At 42.8% G+C, this 22,654-nt stretch overlaps 1 long non-coding RNA gene across 1 annotated transcript in view; it reads left to right on the top strand.

Annotated features, from left to right (window-relative positions):
- LOC124904874 (uncharacterized) overlaps positions 1 to 20,074 on the top strand; it is a 44,620-nt gene extending 24,546 nt beyond the window's left edge. The window contains exon 2 of the long non-coding RNA XR_007067537.1: positions 17,509 to 20,074. This is a non-coding gene — a long non-coding RNA (uncharacterized LOC124904874). The remainder of the gene's footprint in view (positions 1 to 17,508) is intronic.
- Positions 20,075 to 22,654: the final 2,580 nt, after the last annotated feature.

Genomic DNA, 22,654 nt, shown 5'->3' with positions numbered 1-22,654 from the left:
TCTGGTGTGTGTCATTAATGTGAGTGTTACATAATGCATTTTGCTGATTTATTTATGAAATGGTTGATTTAGTAGTCCATTTGCCCCTTGTCAAAAGCGTCTGGGAATGCCTTCATTTTCAGTTTGTTTACTTGAATAATAATTTGATTTGGGCTTTCCCATTTGGCAAGTTGATTCTGATCCCAACAACATCTATGACACCACCACATGGTAGATTCCTATTGTTGTAGAAATGTTATGTTTGTTGGTTTTGAAAAAGGGGACTTAAGTAAAAAATGGCATTTTCTCCATTTGTCTCCTTGGATCTATGGCAGAACACCTTTCTTTTACTGATCTTTGCCTCAGTCTCAGTTGTGCCCACTGCTTGTGTCCAGAAGGCTTGAGCATGGCTGGTGGACTGGTGCGAGAGTTCAACTGACATTTATTTGTTTGGCAGCGTCTCCTGGAAGAAAACTCATTATGTAAAAGGGCTTCAGGAGTCGTAGATGATGTGGGAGGGAACTAGACATTGTGAATATATGTGGGAGCTGGGACTCAAATTTGGTTTGTATGAGACAGAAGACCCCTGAGTGCCTGGGCTCTCTATAAAGAGATTGAAGTACTGAATGACACTGGGTCTCAAGCAACCCTGCCTAGGGATCTCTCTAATATACAATTAACCTGGTGCCTATCAGCAACATTGCAAATCTACAGTACTTAGTGGCTTAATGTTAGAGGAGAGTGAGATCTGGCAGGGCCGCAGAAGTGCCCTTTGGGACAATTGAACATATATCAGAATCCCCTTGGAAGTCTCAGAAATATGCAAAATAGATTTGCTGAGGTCTAAATGCAAGCTGCAGTTACCCTGACATTGTGATCCCCGTCTGTATTTGCATGCTAGTGATGACTGGTTTAAACTTGGCCTTTGCAATGAGCCCTGGATTTGAACTCTTCATTGAAGCAATCCTTTTGCAATGGCATGTTTTACTAAAAACATATCAATGTGTCAGAATAGGATGTATGCAGTGGGAAACGTGCCATGAGAGTAAGCCCTGGAGTCCTTCTTACCCAGAGGAATCTGGCCCTTAGAGTTCTCCTTTGTTGTTGCTGCAGTCTGAATATGTTCCCCAGAATTCATATATTGAAACCTAATCACCAAGTGATAGTATTAAGAGGCGAGGCCTTTAGGAGGTGACTAGATCATGAGGATGGAGCCCTCATGGATGGAATCATGGCCCTTATCAAAGCGCTTGAGGGAGTGGATTTGTTCTCTTCCACCAAGTGAGGACACAGTGTTCATCTGCCTTTCCCCCTTCTATTCCTGCTGCCATGTGAGGACACCCAGATGAAGCCATCTGTGGGGAAGCAACCTTCACCAGACACTGGACCTGTTGGTGCCTTGAACTTGAACTTCTCAGCCTCTAGAACTATGAGGAAATAAATTTCTGTTTTTTTTTAATTACCTAGTCTCAGGTATTTTTTAATAGCAGCATAAATGGACAGACAGTTGTCTTCAAGTTCATCTCATTATTCAATAGTACTTATGGAGTCTTCCCTAGAGGTCACAGAGAGGAGAGAAAAATAAGTGGAGGAAACGGATGATGTTTTATACAGAAGTTCAACTATATTCTAAAAATTTACCACAATCTAGGCTCCAGTTGCCAATAGATAGTAACATGATGAGTTATAATTATAGACCTATAGGTTTCTAAAAGTGAATTAGTGAAGGAGTATCACTATTACCAGTTTCAAACCAGGGAAATAGAAACCTGGAGGGTTTTGAAAATTTGTCCAAGGAGTGATCTGACTTTAGCATCTCTTTCTTCAATCATTTTTCACAATGCATTTCTTTTATTGTATTTGTCTTCCTTTCAACATATTTTGGAACCTTGATAGTCACACAGTACCTGTGGTTATGGGTGGGTCTCTGCAGATCTGAGGGCACCTTGGTGGGTCATTAAGTCAGGGAGAGATATAATCTTGATGACCCATCTTTGATATCACCTGGGTTGTAGCTTGGGACTCTTTGACAACCACATGCTGCCCATAAAATCCTCAGGAATGTAAGTTCTTATCTTAAGACTTTGCCAAAGTATTTAGTGTGCTTATGCTGTTCTATAAAATGGAGATAGAATACTGCTTTCCTCTGGGAAACACAGCCCTAGATGAGCCCTTAATCACCTAAATATTTACTCTATCTTGGCCTTAGCCTTCTATATGGAGAATACAGATTATATCTTCTTCTTAGTTTTTGAGTGTGACCCTTAAAGGAGATCAATGATACAAGGCTATAAAAACTCTCATATTGGACCACTCAGATTGTGTCAGAGGGAGCCACTGACTCAGATTGTGTCAGCAGGAGCCACTGACTCAAATGTGCTGGTCCCAATGTAAGTGGTAAAGGGATCCTGATAATTTACCTCATAGGGGTTGTGTTTAATTTTAAGCACGTGGATAACATTGCTAACAGTGCTGTGATTCCTTAATAGTCTCTGTATAAAGCCTTCCAGGAGAAAGAGATGTCAGAACTACAAACCCTGCCTTGCAGAAGCTCACAGTCAAGGATGTGAAACATCTGTCAGTTGGACCTTGCCTTAGACCATTGATTTGTCACCTGAGCTGCACTTTGGGATAACCTGGGTGCTTTTTTGTTTTTTTTTAAAGAGATAGGATCTTGCTCTGTTGCCCAGAGATGCAATCATAGCTCACTGCAGCCTTGAACTCCTGGGCTCAAGTGATCCTCCTGCTACAGCCTCCTGAGTAGCTGGAACTACAGGTGCACACCACCACGCCCAGCTAATTTTAAAGATTTTTCTGTAGAGATAGGATCTCACCATGTTGCCCAATCTGGGCTTAAACTCCTGGACTCAGGCAATCCTCCCTCCTTGGCCCCAAAGTGCTGGCATTACAGGCATGAGCCACTGTCTCCAGTCCCCTGAGGGTGCTTTTACATACTTCTAATAGGCAGGCCACCCTCTAGACCAGATATTGGAATCTCTGTGGTGGGACCTGGGCAACTGTGCTTTTCCAGCTCCTTGGAAGAGTTACCTGTGAAGCCAAGGCTGAGAACCACTGCTTTGGTCTCTTTGCTTCTCCAAATGTGGTCCTTGAACCAGTAGCATTGGTCTCTCCTGGGAGTTTGTTAGAAATGCAGAATCTTTGCTCTACCCTAGAACTACTGAATCAGACTCTGCATTTTAATGAGATCCCCACCTAGTTTCTATGCACAGAAAGGCTCAGGAAGTGTCCCTCTGGAAAATTCAGTCACAAGACTTCTCAGAGGGGGAAAAAGGCCATCTACATTTTTTGTCTTAATGTGACAGAGAGATTAACATGAAAATGATTTCCGTATTATACACTGTTTACATGTGTTAAAAATACTACTTACATATAGTTGGATTTTAGAGAAAGCTGCCTAATAATTTTGCAGGCAAAATATAATTCAAAACTGTAGCCAAGGCAATATTCAAGATAAATTGCAAGAATTGGACCTTGGCTTAGTGATGCTCTTGAAAACATCTCACTTACAGAACACAAGGTACAAACAAAGTTATTTTTTGATTTTTTTTTTTCTGTAAATGCCGGTATCTGTTGGGGGAGACATTACTTTTCCAAAGAGGAATTTAGAATGAGAAAGCTTGAATATAAAATGGTGATTGAAAACAAGTGAAGACCTTGCTGCTTGTAGAAACACAAATACAGACATAGGCAAACTGTATTTTTTTTTTTTTTTTTTTTTTGAGACAGAGTCTCACTCTGTCGCCCACGCTGGAATGCAGTGGCGCGATCTCCGCTCACTGCAAGCTCCGCCTCCCAGGTTTTTTCACGCCATTCTCCTGCCTCAGTCTCTGGAGTAGCTGGGACTACTGGTGCCCGCCACCACGCCCGGCTAAATTTTTGTATTTTTAGTAGAGACGGGGTTTCACCATGTTAGCCAGGATGATCTCGATCTCCTGACCTCGTGATCAGCCCGCCTCGGCCTCCCAAAGTGCTGGGATTATAGGAGTGAGCCACCGCGCCCGGCCGGCAAACTGTATTTTCAAAGCAAAGGAAAATTCACTCTGTTGGTGGGTGGAATTTACATAGATCTTAATCAAATATGCCCTCCCATCTTAAGTTTAAGACTGTAGCACAGCACACAGCCTCTTTGTATGGAGTGTTGGTTCTTTGAAGCAACAGAAAAGGGTGGTTAGTAACTGCTGAGAATGGGCACAAAAACGTCCTAAGAACAAAAAAACAAAAAACAAAAAAACACAAAACAAAAAAACACCCATATGTAGGCAGGTCTAGGCTGAAAAGAGAAATCACCTTTGTTGAGCTCTTATTTTTGGCCCCTAGGCTCAGTTTTCTACATACAGAGAGCAGCAAGGAGACCGTCCACAAAGGCCTGAAAACACAGACCTCCTGGTTTCTGCTGTTATGCCAGGTTGTCTGGAAATTCTTGAGGACTTCAGTGAACAATGTCACTTTTTTACTTGTGATTTAGAATCCACCTTGCTGCTTTTTAGTGGCTTTCAAAACATCCGATGGTATTTTCTCTATTCTCTTCCCTTTACCCCCTTCTTTCTTCTTACTTTGCTTGCCACTTGCTTGTTCTCTCACTTCTTAGACTGTAGGGAGTCTTCCTTCAGAAATCAGCATCATGAAAGGTATTTCCTTGTTACATTGTTCCAGAATATCTCTTCATCCTTGGTGAATATTTAGGGATAATTTCCCCTTGTTTAATTTTTGTTAAACAAAATTAATCTCCTGCCTGGCAGCAGAAGAAACTATGTTTCTGAGATTTTTTTCCAACAGCTCTGATGTCCAGCATGCCAGTGTTTTATTTAATTAGTATGTTTACTGTCCTAGTGCTGTGAATGAAGATTCAGTTTGCTTTTATAGAAACTCTTTGACCAGAATGTCTTTGGCATAAAGATCAAGAGCAGTTTGCTCATAGAATATCAGGGTCTTGGTAACCTCCTCAAGCTGATTGGGATACACCAAACTAACTTCCACCTCTGTGCACCTCTGTCCCTCCTGTCAGAGGAAAAGCAGCTACCCTTAATGTCCGTGGCTCAGCCCATTCCACGGGGACCTGGAGCCACATCCCTCCTGGCCTGTGATGATCTCCCGCCACTGTTTACCTCTGTCTTTTCTTAGAGTTTGACCTCTTTCTTGCTGTCCTCTGCACCATAAAGCCAAGGTCACCGATTGGCTGCTCATGCCTACAGACCCACCTGTTTGTTTCAGTTGAGTTAGTTTCCAACATTTAACCATCAAGATTTCACAGAAAAAAGCCATATTTCTGTTTTCTCATTAAAACCAACAAAACAAAACAGAAGATCTAGCAAACTGAGCCAACCTGGAGGCAACGGCTCGAGTGGGTCCTGGCTTTATCATTCACTGGCCCAGAGAACCTCCCTCCTCTATTTGGTTCATCTCTTTGTACCTTTGGGCTAAATAATGAACAATTTCATTCTATCTCTTCACTTGTTCTCTTTTTTTCGATGTGTTAGAGCTTTTGTTTAATTCATTTTAAAACATTTCAAATATAGTCATGTGCAGCATAATGACATTTCAGTTTCAGTCAGTGATGAAACACATATTCAGCGATGGTCCCGTAAAATTATGATACTGCATTTTTGTTGTACGTTTTCTCTGTTTAGATACACAAGTACTTACCCTTGTGTTATAATTGCCTACAGTATTCAGTACAGTAACCTGCTGCACAGGTTTGTAGCCTAGGAGCAGTAGGCTGTACTACAGAGTCTAGGTGTGTAGTAGGCTACCCCGTCTAGATTTGTGTAAGTGTACACTATGATGTTTGCACAATGTGAAAATCACCTAACAATGTGTTTCTCAGAATGTATCCCCTTTGCTAAATGACACATTGACTATATTATAGTTTTCATTTTGAGAAGTTTTATTTGTTTTTTAAAATCATTTTGACCATTCCTTACAGTATCTGATTCCTTTTTTGTATGTTCAAATTTCTCTTATTTCTTTAAACATGAACAATAGTTATTTTACACTGTGAGGCTGATAACTGCAATATCTGAAGATTTTATGGTTCTGGTCCTGCTCTCTGCTGTCTCTGCTTGTGGCAGCTTGTCTGTGAGCTGTCCATTTTCCCTAGAACTTTATCTGTGTGAGTCCTTTGAGGCCCTGGTTGAAGTTGAGTTTGTCCATAAAGGATTTGTTTGTTTCTGCCTGTTATCTCTGGGCACTACCGATTTGGGACCACATTAAGTCAAATTAGCTCTTGAGGTCTCTTGGACCACAGAGGTATTCCTGACATCCAGGATCCCCAGTTTGATGTGGCGAGTAGCAGGGGTTCACCCACTGGGCTGTACAGACACATGCTTATCTCCTGAGCTTCAGATCCTTGGCCAAGGTTTTGGAGTGAGTTCACTAAAGATAAACAGTGCTCTGTAATTATAGATCAGGGAGTTGTTTCAGAGCAGAAGGTAGCAGTCTGCCAGCATTGTTTAGCAATAATATTTGTGTTTCTGATTTGTTCCTGGTTTTGGTGGAGGCTGGAGATGGGGCATGGATTTTAATGGTTAAGGCTGGTCACATAGCTAGAAGGTGTCTATGAGAGACCCGCACCATGAACAGGCTTCCTGGTACCAAGGTGCTTTACACACATAAACATATACACACAAGGCCCATGGACACACACACACACACACACACAGACACACACCAGTGCTTGCTAGAAACCTGGAGACCAAGCTCTCCTATAAGACCCAGCTGTGGTAAGACAAAGAAGCTGTGGCCTGTGGTCCCCTGGCCCCTTCAATTCACGTCCTTCTGCTTCTGCTGCTGTGCTGGTTCTTTCTGATAAAGCTGTTCTTTGAGTATAAACTGAGTCTTGTGTGTCCTTTCAGCAGTGGAGCACCTAAGGTTATTGGCATGTAATTAACACAGTGGGGGCCTCCTCTTCGGTTTCCTACCTTGCTTGGGCTGGGGCTTTACCTCTCTTTCCCTGGGTACCATGCAGCTGACAAAGAGAGATCTCATTGTTTTCCGTGGTTGATGTAAATACTCATGGCGCCTCCTTTCACTCTTGTTTCCATGTTCTTCTGAAGATTTCTTCCTCCCTATGCAGGTCAGAGATGCATTATTTCATCCAGAATTGCTTTTTCAATAGGAAAAAGCAAGAAACAGAAATTCAATAGACACAATCTTTTTAACTACAAGAAATGGAAATCCTGAAGTGCATATGTATGATATATACATAAAAACACACGGAAAGAAATATATGTGTGTGCATATGTGCACATACATATCTATACATATATGTATATATACACACATATCTATACATATATGTATGTATACACACATATTTTATGTGTGTATGTATGTACCTATACATATGCATATACATATATTCATGACTCTTTAGCCCACTATAATCAGGCTTTCACCGTTCTGTACTCCTGATGCTTTAAATTTTGCTGTTCCTGAAGGCTTTGTCCTCTTTTTTACCCCACTCTGTCTCTCTGTAGTACATCAAGCTGTTGCTTGGCCAACTACTGCTTGCAAGCCACACATGGCCTACCACCAGTTTTTGTAAATAAACATTTACAGGATCACAGCTACACCCTATTTATATATTGTCTATGGTGTTTTTATGCTATAATGGCAGAGTGGAGTAGTTTCAACAGAGACCTTCTGGCTCACAAAGCTTAAAATATTTCATCCCTGCCCCTTTATAGAAAAAATTTGCTGACCCCTGAACTATTTTATCTTCATCTGTGACTGTGTCACCACATTGTAGAGGGATAAAATGAAGCGATGTGTTTCATTGCTGTATTCTTTATATCATCTTTTGGTATCTGCTATTATTTGAAATTACATTTTTTTTTTTAACTTCCAAATGGGAGCATGTCCTGGTTACTGTAAAAGAAAATAATGAAGAACCTCAGGGGTTGGGAGATTCCTTGGGGGGCCTTACATTAGGTGAATGTGTGTGAAAGGAAAATAATGCCACCCCATACATCCCTTTGGGAATCTGTGAAGAATATAAGGGGGTTTATGATTATGAAGAATAGAAGTGCCGATCTTCTGGGGACTGTCCCCCACCTCTGACATCAAGAAGCAAGGGATGAAAATCAGTGTTACTGAGCCCAGCCAAGAGGGTGAGGTGAATATAGTTGCTTCTTGACCATCCTTGGAAACCCCAGTAGAGCCTGACCCAGCTCTGATATCCCTTTGCAGTATAAACAGCTGGGAGGTTCAGCAGAGGCCAGACTGCCAGCGCCAACTGGGGACAAACTCAGTCTTATGCAGCTACTGTGTCTGCTCCAAGGAGATCACAAAGCAGGGAGCCCTGGCTATAAACTGCATCACCTTGAGGACTGAGGATTGCAAGTTGGAGAACTTCTAAGCCACACCGTGCTTCTGTTATCCACTGTGCCCTTAAAACCAGGCTTCTGTTTTGAGAGGCTGAGTGTGAAGAAGGCTTAATCCAATCACTTGTAGGGTGGATTAGCAGGGATGTGGATAAACTGCCCCTGCTGAGATAGGGCCTCCCTCAAGCTCTCTACGAGCTTGGGTGAAGCAATTGTTAGACATCCAGAGAAAGGCAGAGCTAGGAGTTTTGATTCATACTGGAGACGAGGGATTTGAGGACCAAGTTTCTAACAGGTTCTGATTATTAGATAAGGCTCTCCCCCAGTACTGAGCTAGCCTCAGCTAAGCAGCAAGCAGTGAGTAACTAGGGATTTCATTAATTTGTCCACAGTCTACAGAAGAAGATGTTTCTGTTCCTCTCCAGGATTCAGGGCAGACTCCCTGGCATGGGCTGCAGAATTCTTCATGTCCTGTTCTTGTCTAAATGCAAAGTCTCTGCCCGAGCCTCCTAGGAATAACTGTTAGCCCAGCCAAACCCTTTACTCACACAGCAGTCTCTCCCAAGTGAAAACCCTGCCCCCCTCAAAGTGATGCAATTACCTGACTGTACCCACTGTACCCACACTGCACTATACCCATGCTGCACAGAACACACACTGCACAGCACACAGAGTGCACAGTACCCACACTTCACTATACTCATACTGCACAGCACACACAGTGCACAGTACACACAAGGCACTATACCATACTGCACAGCACACACACTGCACAGTACCCATACTGCACTATACCCATTCTGCACAGCACACACACTGTACAGCATACACACTGCACTTCACACACACTGTACTGTAAACACTGTACTTACACACACCGCACTGCACACACACCGTTCTGTACACACACTGCACTGCACACACACTGTACTATAGACACACTGCACTACACACACTGCACTGGACACATGCTGCATTGTATGCACACACTGCACTGCCCACACACTGTACTGTACACACACACTGTACAGTACACACACTGCACAGTACACACACTGCACTATACCCATCCTGCACAGCACACACAGCACTATACCCATACTGCACAACACACATGCTGTATAGTACACACACTGCACTGCACACACACTGCACTGCACACACACTGCACAGTACACACACTGCACAGTACACACACTGCATAGTACATACACTGCACTGCACACACACTGTTCTGTACACACACTGCACTGCACACACGCTGCACTGCACAGACACTGTACTCTACACACACTGCACTGCACACACACTGCACTTCACACACACTGTGCTGTAAACACACTGTACTTACACACACTGCACTGTACATACACTGCACAGCACACACACTGCACTGCACACACACTGTACTATAGACACACTGCACTACACACAGTGCACTGGACACATGCTGCATTGTACGCACACACTGCACTGCCCACACACTGTACTGTACACACACACTGTACAGTACACACACTGCACAGCACACACACTACACTGTACACACATTGCACTGCACACACACACTGCACTGTACACATACTGCACTGTAAACACACTGTGCTGTGCCTAAACTTTACTGCACTCACACTGTGATGTATCCACACTGCCCTGTCCACACACTGCACAGTACACACTCTGCACTGTCCACACATTACACTGTATCCATACTGCTCTGTACCCACGCTGCACTGTACCCATACTGTGCTGTATTCAGTGCATCCACACTGCAATGTACATACGCTGTGCTGTACTCATACTGTACTATACCCACACAGTGATGTATCCACACTGCACTGTCCACACACTGCACTGTACCCGCACTGCACTGTGATGCACCCTCCCTGTGCTGTGCTGTACCCACTGTCCCACACAGCACTGTTCCTACGCATCATTGCACCCACCCTGCACTGTGCTCACTGCTCCCACACTGGGATGTACCTACTCCACTGTCCCTACACCGTGCTAATCCACTGTGCCCCCACTATATTTTACCCATGTGGCTCAGGCAGCTCAGTAATCAAGCCTCATTGGTTGGTCTCCCTTAGTCCCCATGATGGACTGTAAGCTCCAGTTAGGCAGGAATCTTTGTTTTATTCATCAGTAAATTCATGCAGCACTGAACAGCACTCAGCACACAGTGGGTGCTTAGTAAGTATTTGCTGAGGAATGAATTTGAAGGCAGTTTTTCCGTAATCCATTTCAGTCCCTAACAACCCCTCAGTTGTTAAATCAGTAAAATTTCCTCTGTCCAAATTAAACTCTCTTGATAAAAAGCAAGCATGTTTCTTTTTCTGAGCTTCAGATAGAGCTGGCAAACCACTTAGGCTCCATTTTCTATATGGATCAACCACCTGGGTTCAGAGGAGTCCGTGAGTCCTTGCTGACATTTTTTCTCATCTACTCTGAGTAATTCTGATTTCTTAACTATTTCTTCTGAAATGTCCTATTATTTTCACAGACCAGTCTAGGAGGGGCCTGCATTAGGTAAGCAGTTTCGGATGCTTACAAAATAGTATAAGGTTTGGGCTTTTCTTTTCCAAAACCTATCCAGTGCTCTTGAAAGCACCTTGAAAACAGTGCCTGGCACTTAAGTGGGTTCATGGTGTGCTCTGGCTGGGAAAGTCTGTGAACCTGACTGCCTGCGGTTTTTGGATCCATCTCTAATGGTAATCATCAGGGAAGGATGTGGCCTTTTTCCATTAGGTGTAAAGCAAGTTTTCGGCAAATGCAACCATTTAAGATTTGTCCTCCCAACATTGGCTGAAGATGGGAGGGACTCCTTGAACTCCAAGGAAGGATTATCCTAAGAAATGTTTTGAAGCTAATAGAGAGATGGTGACACTTCATCCCTTTTGTCCACCCTGAGCAATCACTCAGCTGTGCCCACTAATAGGAGGATAGGAGGGGAGTGGGAGTAGAGCATGCCACTGTATTCTGAAACAATGTGCTCTCTCTAAACACGGCATTCAGGACTTGAGATGTCTCAAGATCCTAAGTGGTTTTGTTTGACCTTGTTGAGATCAAGTGGCCACGGGATGGAAATGGTGCTGAGGTCAGCCTGTGCTGTGCACCTGCAGGAGCAGTCGTGAGGTGTCAGGACAGACAAGCCCACTGGCCTCCTAAGTTTTCTCCTTCGCTCTAGCTGTACCTCCCATGTTTCCATCTCCATCCCAAAACCGAATAATCTTTATAAATCAGCAAACTGATTGAGACCCTTCTCTGCTTAAAACCCCGCAGGACTCCCCTGTGGTCCTCCATGACCTGGCTAGTGCCTCTCTACCCAGCTTCATTTTTACCCTCAACTAACCCAAGAATATCAGAGCACGCAACTCCCAGCTTCTCCTGTCCGTGCCTCCTTCCTGGCTGGTTTCTGCCTGGGGTGTCCTTTCATTTCCCCTTTCTGGACTAAATTCTACCCATCCTTTCAGACTCAATTTATGGATCTCCTGCTCTAGGAAAACTTCCTACACTTTCATTGCCTCTGTGTCAGCAAGAAGTGTTTGTTCATTCGTAAGCATTAACTGAATGCCTACTGAATGCCAGACATTGGAGACAGGGCAATGATGAAGACCTGGCTTCACCCTTGAGGGACACGCAGGCTGGGTATCAGAGTATCTTGGCCCTATTTAACAGACTCCAAAAACCGAGAAAATCAGGAGACCATCCTTTGCATGCAGTAGGCATTTAATTATTATGTGAGGAATTTTGTTTAAACATTAAAAATGAAACATGCGCTTTAAAGTTACCGGAATATGCCACCACTTGGTATGATATACCTTTTTACAGCAAACATGGATGCTGGTATCATTACATATATTCATCAGCATAATGTGCTATTTTACCAGCATTCCAGGGTCTACTTGGAACAAAAACAGATGTTTCCTCCAGTGTGAACATTTCACCATGCCCTGCAGAAACCCTCCTATTCTGGACTAGGAATAAACATTGCAAGTTTAGAACTGATGTTTAATATTACTCTGATGGCTTGCCGTGGTTGCTGTGGAAATTATGGTATTGTTTATTATTAAATGAAGAGCAACAATGCTCCCAATAAAATAAACCTATAATATTGATACAAGGCAATTTTGGAAGGCAGTTACTTTGTTTTTGTCTTTTGCATTTGTTGGAAGCTGATTGAAAAAGCCTTCCACTTAGTGGAAGGGCATGCTACATTTGTGTATTTGCTGGCCCCATGAGGTAATTCATTTCTGATAATAAAAAGGAGCATTACCTAATTCAAACTTTTATTACGCTGTTGTGTATTGGGCAACCATAAAATGCACCTAGGCAAATGATTTATTGATCACTTGATAATGAGAGGACATGCCTAAGCTGCTGGAAAGTTCTCCTCAGTCCATAGAGACCAATGGGCAGAACTGATCACTTTCAGAGTGTAGGTGTTGATATGGATATGGGAAATGATTAGGATGCTGAGTTCAGCGGCCTGAATGTTCCCATTGATATCCAATAGAAACTTTGTTGCAGAGGTATACCCAGTGAGAGACTGAATCTCATATTTTAAACATTTTCTGTCAACAGCCATTTGTCAAACTCTGTAAGAAGATCAATAAAGGTCGAAGAGACTCAGGGTTGCTAAAACGGCACCCAGTGGCTCTCAGGAAACTGGGGCTGCTCACCGACCCCCAAAGGGCCACTGGAACAGTTTTCAGCACGAAATAAACCAGTTGTGAATTTGAAGAGCGTGGCCCAGCCCTACAGAAAAGCAACTCAACTCATTTAGTTTTGGTTTTAGTCTGCTGAGAGAAATGCTCTGAAGCTAGTGAAAACGACACAAAGCATGTTCCGATCCTTGTGACGGTCCCAGATTTGGGCAGAACTTCCCAATTTGTGGGACTAATTCTTCCAAGTGGGAAGAGAGGGTGGATGAGTTTTCTGTTAACATGCAGCCACTCCACAACTCAGCTGGTTTAAACATCATCAATTTTATTGTGCACAATTCTGTGGGTCAGAGATTTGGGTGGGGCTCGTAAGCAAGGGGAGATGGATCCTCTCTGCTCCATGCTTTGTTGGCTCGGATCTCCACTGGGGCTGGAGAAGCCAAGATGGCCCCACTCACATGTCTAGTGCTTTGGTGTGGCTTTTGGCTGGGGTCCTCAGTTCTCTTCTGCATGGCCTCTCTTCTCCCCCAGAGCTTCTTTTCCCCCATGGCCTCCCTCTCCAGCAAGATGGCTTGGATTTCTTTACATGTCCAGAGGACAAAAAGGGAAGCTGCCGGGTTTCTTAAGGCCTGTACACAGAAGTTCCACAACCTCCCTTCTGTCACATTCTTTGAATCAGTGGCAGTCCCAGGGCCTGCTGAGGCTCAAGGAAAGGAAGATAGGCCCCACTTCTTCGTAAAGAGATGGCAATGTCACACTGCAAAGGGTATAATGGATGGAAGGAATTGATGTGTCCATCTTCTTAGGAAAGAATCTACCACAGATGATGACATGTCAATCACTTTTGAATATTCAGCCACGTTTGGAAGTCAGTCCTCCCTGAACACCACAGTTAGAGAAGCTGAGCTGAGGCATGTTGTTTCTTCCCTAACATCACTGTCCAAAGTTCAGTTATCACTGTACTGCGGACACTGGGATAAGCCGACATGCTGGAGAGGGGGACGCTATGGAGTGGTCAAGGTGCTCACTAGTGATCCAGCTCCTACACTTGTCTGTATTCCTGTCAGCTGGTTTCAAGATAGCTCTCAAAAGATGTGGCTGATTGTCTTGGTCTGTTTGCACTGCTATGACTAAACACATACACTGGGTGGCTTACAAATATCAGAAGTTTATTGATCATAGGTCTGGAGGCTGGGAAGTCTAAGACCAAGGCATAGCAGATTCATTGTCTGGTGAGAGCCACTCCCTGGTTCATAGACAGCTCTCTCCTCATTGTGTTCTCACATGGTGAAAGGAGCAAGGGGTCTCTCTTTTACAGGGGCACTAGTCCTATTAATGAGGGCTCTGCCCTCATGACCCAATGACCTCCCAAAGACCCTGCCTCTTAACACTGTCAGTCACTTTGGAGGTTAGGACTTTAATAAATGAACCTGAGAGATGGGCACAAACATTTAGACCATGGTACTGATTAAAACCGAATTTATATGATTGAGCCAAACAATACTGAGCTGAAGTCAGTCTCCTCCTGTCTTCCAGAAGGACTCTTAGTTATTGAGACATTGCTTCGTCACCCAGGGTTGGACAGACATGTGTGACTTTGTTAAAACCTTGAAAAATTACTTTCAGGTTTCATTAGGTTGCAACAAGGGTTATTTTAGCCCTGCCATCATTTCCCAGTGTCACCTCTCTCATTGCCAGCTAATGACCATGGAAATTTTTCCATGGTTGTCCAGCAGCAAGCTATAATAGCTGGGATTAGGGGTTACCTTTGCCCCTAGAAGCAGGGGCTACAGTTACACCCAAAACCAACCTCTCAAAGGACAAGGGATCCTCCAATATTCCAGGTACTGGAATTAGAACTTGTGAACCATTTAATTTGCTTGCCTGTGAATTCCAGCCAGCACTAAGCGCTATCTGTAGGTGTTTTCCAACCCTGCCAGACAGAAATACTAGCCTGCTCTTATAATTAAAATAGCTGCATTTCCCAACCAACATTCCTGCGGAAAACAGGAGTATGTGAAAACTCTTAGGAACGTTTTTATTTTTTTTAGGACTTTGGGATACTGTTTATTTTTACGACTAAGCTTTTGAATACACACATATCTTTAAAGTTTTAAAAATGTATTCAGTAGATGCAATACATCATGAGCCCTTTGTCAAGCAGTGAGCATATGATGCCCTGGTTAAGTATGGAGCATTATCCTCAGTAATAAGTCCAAAGGTTGGTCATATGACCCAAGACAGCCAATCAGAGTCCTTCTCTGGAACTAATATGTTGACACCAGAAGAAAGAAGCTCTGTCTTACTGTGTTGGTCATTTTTCCAGTCTCATAGAGAAGGTCTCATGTCTTCAGTAGGAGACAACAAGACTAACTTATAAGGAGAGAGACAAGCAGAGATGAGAGATGGCAGGGAAAGAGAAAGCCGGCAGGGCTGAGACTCCAATTATTATCCTGGAGATCTCGAGTCTTGTAGGTCTTTCTTTCAGTTCTGTGAGCCATTCAGCATCTTTCCTGGCTACAGGACCCAATAGTTTCTTTTTCTTTTTTCTCACTAATCAGAGAATTTTACGAATGTACAGAGTTTTGTTAACCTTTCACCGTATAGAATTGTTATGCTCCAAAGAATATGATTAACTCATTGGTTCTTATTCCCATTCTATAACAAAACACATAACGGCAGCATAATGTTGAGATTGTCTTTTGTAATATTGCCATAGAGAAAGACAAAGATTCTGTAGGCAAAGTAGGTCGTTTGCTTATTTAGATAAAGTTTTTTATGGACTCAATGTTGGTGTCTCCTCCAAATTCATATGTTGAAACCCTCCCCTGCTTATATTTGGAGAAGAGGCCTCTAAAGCAGTAGTTAAGGTTAAATAAATGAGTTTGTGGGAGTGGGGCCCAGATCCAAGAGGATTAATATCCTTATAAGAATAGACACCAGATCTCTCTCTCTCTCTCTCTCCCTCTATGTGTGTGTGTGAGCACGCACGTGTACAGAAAGGCCATTTGAGCACACAGCAAGAAGGCAACTGTCTACAAGCCAGGAAGAGAGCCTTCACTAGATACTGACCATGCTGACATCTTGATCTTGGACTTCCCAGACTCCAGAACTGTGAGAAACGAAGTTCTGTTTTTCAATTCATCCAGGAACCTGTGAATTTTGTTATGGCAGCCCAAGCAGACTTAAAAAGATTTTGGTACTGCGAAGTGGGATGCTGTAACAAACAACTAAAAGTGTGGAAGCCGCTTTGGACCTGAGTAATGGATAAAGGCTGGAGGAGTTTTGAGGTGCATGCTGGGAAAAGTCTAGATTGTCATGAAGGTAGAAATATTGACATTAAAGGTGATTTTCATGAAGGCACAGAAAGGAAAAAAGGAAAGCTGGAGAGAATACCTCCATTTTCTTAGTGAATACATAAATAATCATGAGCATAATGTTGGCAAGAAGAAACCAGAATTTAAGGCTTGGAAAATTCTCAGCCTGTTCATACTGCAAAAAATGAGAAAGTATGTTCAGAAGAGAACACCAGGAGGGTAGCTGGACAATACTCAATAAAGGCATTGTGGGATTATATGAGCAGAAACACTGCAGTTGGAGCAGAAGAGAAGGGAGATGGGATGAAAGGAAAGAAGGCTGTTGGACTTAGACTCTACAGGACAGGCCAGTAGAGCTATGTTTGTGATGTGCACTGTCCTTCAAGAACAGGGAAGAGGAACCCTGAAGGTGACACAGACGCAATCAGGGCTGCCTCCTTGGTTTCCAAGGGTTGAGCCACTACTGAGGTTTCCACAGGCCAGGCTGCCACCACATGGGGTCTGGGGGGTGGGGGAGTTGGGGTCAGAGTCCCACTCAGCAGAGCCCAAAGGGTGTAACCTCTACCCCATGAGTCTAGACAGTGAGACCACCACCCTAGTGGATCTGGAAGACTATCAAGCCAAAGAGGATTATTCTTGAGCCCTAAGATCTAATTGAATTTGTCTTGCCAGGTTTTGGACATGCTTGGGACCCATCACCTCTTTCTTTCTTCTGATTTATCTCTTTTGAAATGGGAATATCTATCCTTTGCCTGTCCACCATTGTTTTTCAGAAGCACATAACTTGTCTGGTTTCACAGATTCACAGCTGGAAAGAAATTTTACTTCAGGATTTGTACCTTGAGTCTTACCCATATCTGATTTAGATGATAGTTAAGTGAGAGTTTGGACTATAGACTTCATAGTAGTTGCTGGAATGAGTTAAGACTTTGGGGGCTGTTGGAATGAATGAATGCATTTTACATGCAAGAAGGACATAAATTTCAGGGGAGCAGGGGAAGAATGTGATAGACTGAATGTTTATGTCCCCTGATAATTTGAAGCCCTAACCCCCTAGTGTGGCTGCATTTGGAGATAGGGCCTCTGAGGAAGTAGTTAAGGTTAAATAAGGCCATAAGATAGGGCCCTTATCTAATAGAATTAGTGTCCTTGTAACAGGAGACACCAGAGAGCTCACAGTCTTTCTCCCTTCCTTCCCTCCCACAGGCACACATCAAGGAAAGGCTGTGTGAGGACACAGGGAGAAAGCATCATCTACAAACCAGGAAGAGAGCCCTTACTAGAAACCTAACCCTACCAGCACCTTGACCTTGGACTTCTACCCTACAGAACTGTGAGAAATAAATTTCTGTTGTTTAAGCCATCAAGTCTGTGATATTTTATGATGGCAGCCTGAGAAGACTGATAAAAAGCTAAAACACATTTAAATGAAAAAAAAAATATTTATTTATATAATGTAAATATCTTCCAGCTTGATAGCCTCTGTGGGTGACTGCATTTTGGCTGCCACAATATCTCCCCTCCCACATGTACATCTACCACGTGACATTGAGTATCTCCCATCCCACACGTTTATCTACCACGTGACATTGAATTGTCACCAATCAAGATGTACAATCTGTGACTTTCCCTTTGGAATTGCACAAACTTATGTCTCATTAGTAACCAGTGTGGTAGAAGTGATGCTGTGTGCCTTCTGAGGCTGGGTCATGAAGACAATGCAGTTTCCAACTTGAGAGTTGGAGCACTTGCTTTAGGAGTGCTGTCACCAAGAAGGTTTGGATACCCTAAGGCTGCCATGTTGTGAGGAAGCCCAGGCCAGTGGAGAAGCCACTTTTGGATGCTCAGCTTACTGTCAAGCACACAGGAAGTATGAAAGAGAAGGTCCCAGATAAAAGTCAACACCAATATCCCAACATGTGAATGAAGACACCTCTTGATGATTTCAAAGCCCAACAATCATCAAGTCACCCCTAGGATAGTATTTCTGGGAGGTCCACAATTGATCTCTCACATGTACTCACATATTGGTTTCTGCTGTCATCACATGATCAATCATCACCACTGTTGTTCCTCTGCTGCCTGGAGGTTCTCCATCCCTGCCTTTGCCCTTCCCTCACACTCTCATTTCAAGGTCCCTGTCAAAGAGGAATGATTTAACAGCTTTCAGGATTTGGCAACTCCAATGCCGCTGAAGACTGAGTGTGGAAGAGGCCCCATTGCCAATTTTCAGCCATACTTTGTCACTTGGGCTCCAAAGCAACCTAGAAAGTCACAAAAGCTACTCCTGGGCAATTTTCTGCCAACTCTAGTAGCCGTGCTTATTCAATAACAATTATATAATACTCAATGTGAGACAGTTACTATTTCCATCACTTAAAAAGATTAACCTACCTTTACAATAACCTTATGAGTTTTGTTATTATTTTGTTTTACAGAAGAGGATACTGAGATTTAGCAAGGCTAAATAACCAGCTTAGGGTCACCCAGCTAGGAAGTAGTAGAGCTAGTGTGTGTGCATACACTGGCACATGCATGCTCATATGTGCATGTGTACTTGTATCTTTCTCTGCTGTGTATACTTGGAAGCAGGTTTTGGCTTGCCTGAGTCTATGGATGGAGGTAAGAGCAGCCAATATTTATTGCAAGAGATAAACAAACCCTAACCCAGCCAAGCTTTAAAGTGTCTGGGGTTTTAAGAGCTTTCCAGGCCCTTTGACGAAACCCATCAGGCCAGAGTAATGATGCTGCGGTTTGCCATTCATTCTTATTGGGTTTAATGAAGATAAAGGAGCTCTCTTTATGTGTCCAGTTGGGCTTAACAAATTAACCAGGCTGCCGGAGGGGTACATGTGAACAGAATATTTGTCCTCATAATGTTCATTAGGAGGGAGAAAGTTAACTAACCTTTTGTTCTGTATTTCTTTTCCTAAAGCCCAGTGAAAACTGCAGAGCTGAAACATCATCGCTAATCTTATTTCTGACGGGCCTTTTTCTAACTTCTCCTTTTATGATCATTTCACAGCTGTTATATTGAATCAGTATCATTATGTGTTTAAAAAAAAAATTATGCTCTGTGTCTCAGAGCTAACTGTCCAGAACTAAACATCCTGGCCCCCTTTGGACAATGACAGGCTGTCAGAGAACTGGAAAGGGGATTGGGTTGGTTTGTTTGCTTCTTGTGTCCTCTTGACAGCTCCTGGTGAATGAAGGAAAGCTGCGATGATCAGATTTTTGCTATGGGTTTACAACATGACTATAAGCAAATCCCTGTAGCAAATTGCAAAAATGGCCCCCAAGTCCTGAATGCACACCCCTTTCCAGTGGGATTTTGCCACATCTCTCATTAACAGGTGGAGTCCCTATTTCACACTTTGAATCTGGAATTAGTAATGGGATTTGCTTTGTCCAATGGGATGTCAGCTGAGGCTTGAAAGGCACTTGTTGGAGTTTGCTTTACCATGCTGCATCTATAATCTTGAGACCCTCACGTTACCCGGCCTGAGCTAGCCTGCAAGAAAATGAGAGAAGATAAGGAGAAGAAACAAAGTACAATGGTTGATGGTCACCCTTGTTAATTCAACTGATAGACTTCCAACTGCTAGACAAGTGAGGGTGGCCACCCTAGATCACTCAGCCATCAGCCCGCATGCCAACTGATCACAGATGCATGAGAGCCCAGCAGAGATAAGCCATGCTAACCCAGGCAGAAGTATCACCCAACTGACACACAGAATCATGGACTAAATAAAATGGTTATTTTTTAAAGCCACTAAATTTCAGGGTGGTTTGTTACACAACCAAAGCTAACTGATACATGCTCCTCTTCTTGAAGCACATGACAGCTTACCTAAATGGGGTGCAATTTATACCAAGAAGTCTTCAAGAAGGTGAACATCCATGTGCTACAGGAGTTGGCTTTTAAGAAGTTAGCTCCCCTATATTCAAGGGCTATATTTTTATCAGTGATGTCACTAAGGCTTCTTTCAACATTAAATCTATGTTAAATACACATTAGCTCTTCTCTTTCATTTTGCATAATACAGATTGAGGTGAGTCAAGTACATGTGACTAAGTAAACTGGGTCTCTATAGAGTTACCCTTTTGAAACTTCAGACTCTTAAAGCCTAGAGAGTTTCTTTTTGAAAATCAATTGTATAACATGTTACCATGTTCATAAGTGTCTGGGAGACTGAATAAAAATAATTTCTTCCCTACACACCAAGATCAAACTGATTGTTTAGTTAGGTCTACCTAGTTTAGATTGATTAGGTTTATATTTCCAAATTGGCCTTGTGACCCAAGCATTTGGAAACAAATAAGTTAGTTGAGGAGAACTAAAATCACATAGTTGATAAACCTCATTCATATGAAAATATATTACACTATCACTGAAAAGGTACACTCTTGATCCTTGAACAATGTGGGGGTTAGGGGGACTGACTCCCTGTGCAGTCAAAAATCTATGTGTAACTTTTGACTCCTCCAAAACTTAATTACTAATAGCCTACTGTTGACCAGAAGCCTTACTGAGGACATAAACATTCAATTAACACATATTTTGTACATGTATTTTGTGCTGTATTCTTAGAATAAAGTAAGCCAAGAAAAGAAAATGTTATTAAAATATTTAAAGGAAGAGAAAATATATTTATTATTAATTAAGTGGAAGAGATTATCATAAAGATTTTCATCCTCATCACCTTCATGTTGAGTAGCCTGAGGAGGAGGAGGAGGAGGAAGAAGAGGAGGGATTGGTCTTGCTATCCTAGGGGTGGCAGAGACAGAAGAAAATCTATGAATATGTGGACCTGCACAGTCCAAACTCATGTTGTTCAAGGGTCAACTGAATCTATATAGATAGATGGGTGTCTCATTTATTACTATTTCTTCCTCAATTTGTGATTGTAAATCTTTTAAGGATATAAGTGGTATTCTGAATATCATCTATTGCTGTATAACAAATCTTTCCAAAACTTAGTGACTTAAAACAACAACAATCATTTCATCATCTTTCTTGGATTCTGAGGGGCAAGAATTTGGACAGGGCCTGGCTGGGTGGTTCTATCTCAGGTTTCTCGTGTGCTTGCAGTTAGAAGGTGGCTGGAGCAGTAACAGCAGGGCCTTAAGCAGCTGGTGGCTATCAGATCTCCCTCTCTCCCTTTGTGTAGTCTCAGAGCCTCTCATGAAATCTCCCTGCATGGGCTATTTTGGGCTTCCTCCCAGCATGGCTGCCTCAGGACAGGTCAGTCAGATTGATGACCTGGCAGCTTAGGGCTCTAAGCCAGTGTCCCATGAAAACGCCAGCCTTTTATAACCCCAGAGGTCACATAACATCATTTTGCCATAGTCACAAGCCCTAACTCAAGAGGAGGGAATATAGAGAACACATCTGAATGCGAGGAGTGTCCCGGTACATCATTAGAGAGTTATGGGTGGGAGATGTTGTTGTGACTCTCTGGAAATACAGTCTGCCACAGATGGCCATAGGCAAAATCTCTGACTTGATCCTGGATCTATTTTTTGGTCCATGCTTCCCTGGCATTAATGAAATTGACATAGGTGTTATCATTTGGGTTCTTTCCCCCAACTACCTGCTTCCATCAGTGTTCAGCTACAAGTCAGTTATAAAACAAAGCAAAATACACAAAAAATATGACATCCAGGAACAAAGGTGAAAAAAAATGTCTAAGACCAAAGGGGTTTTAGCTCATCATTCAGTTGCTCTGTTATGTTTAATGGACAAGGAAGTTCAAAAGTCTGGGAGAACACTGGGGTTAAAACAAAATCAAACAAAACAACGACAATAAAACATTCATTTGAATAACTTTGAATCCAGTTGCAATGAGGAGGAAGAAACCCAAGAGGGACCGCCTACATTGAAACTTCCTTGCACACATTATCTCAGATGTTTTTCGGATCTTTTGTGTGGAACTGATTTAATGTCTATAGAGCCTCCAGAAACCCTGGGATTTATAGACACTAGGGAAATGTTTTTCAACTAGTCTAAAAGCTAAATATAAAAGAAAAAATAAAAGAAAGGGGACGTTGCTTACAGCTCGAATGCTCTTATTTTTAGTTTCCCAGTGGATGGGTCGTGAAGAAAAAGAAACCAAAGTGGGCTGTCAGGGCCAGTCACATCTTCTGAACCACTTCCTCCCCACCACAGAGCAAAGCGCTCCAACTCTAGGGTGAGAAAGCACCTCTTCCCAAGGCCTTTACAATTGCACCTCTGGGCTTTGTAGCTGACACCACAATTTCCCAGTTATACCAAACTTTTTCAACTTTTTAAGAGGTGTAGCTCCTTTTGCAAATTTTGTAAGTTTGAAATTATTTCCAGATAAACAAATTT

The sequence above is a fragment of the Homo sapiens genome, chromosome 20, assembly GCF_000001405.40.
Source record: "Homo sapiens chromosome 20, GRCh38.p14 Primary Assembly".
NCBI classification, from domain to species: Eukaryota; Metazoa; Chordata; class Mammalia; order Primates; family Hominidae; genus Homo; species Homo sapiens.
This window is presented reverse-complemented; position numbering and strand designations above follow the sequence as displayed.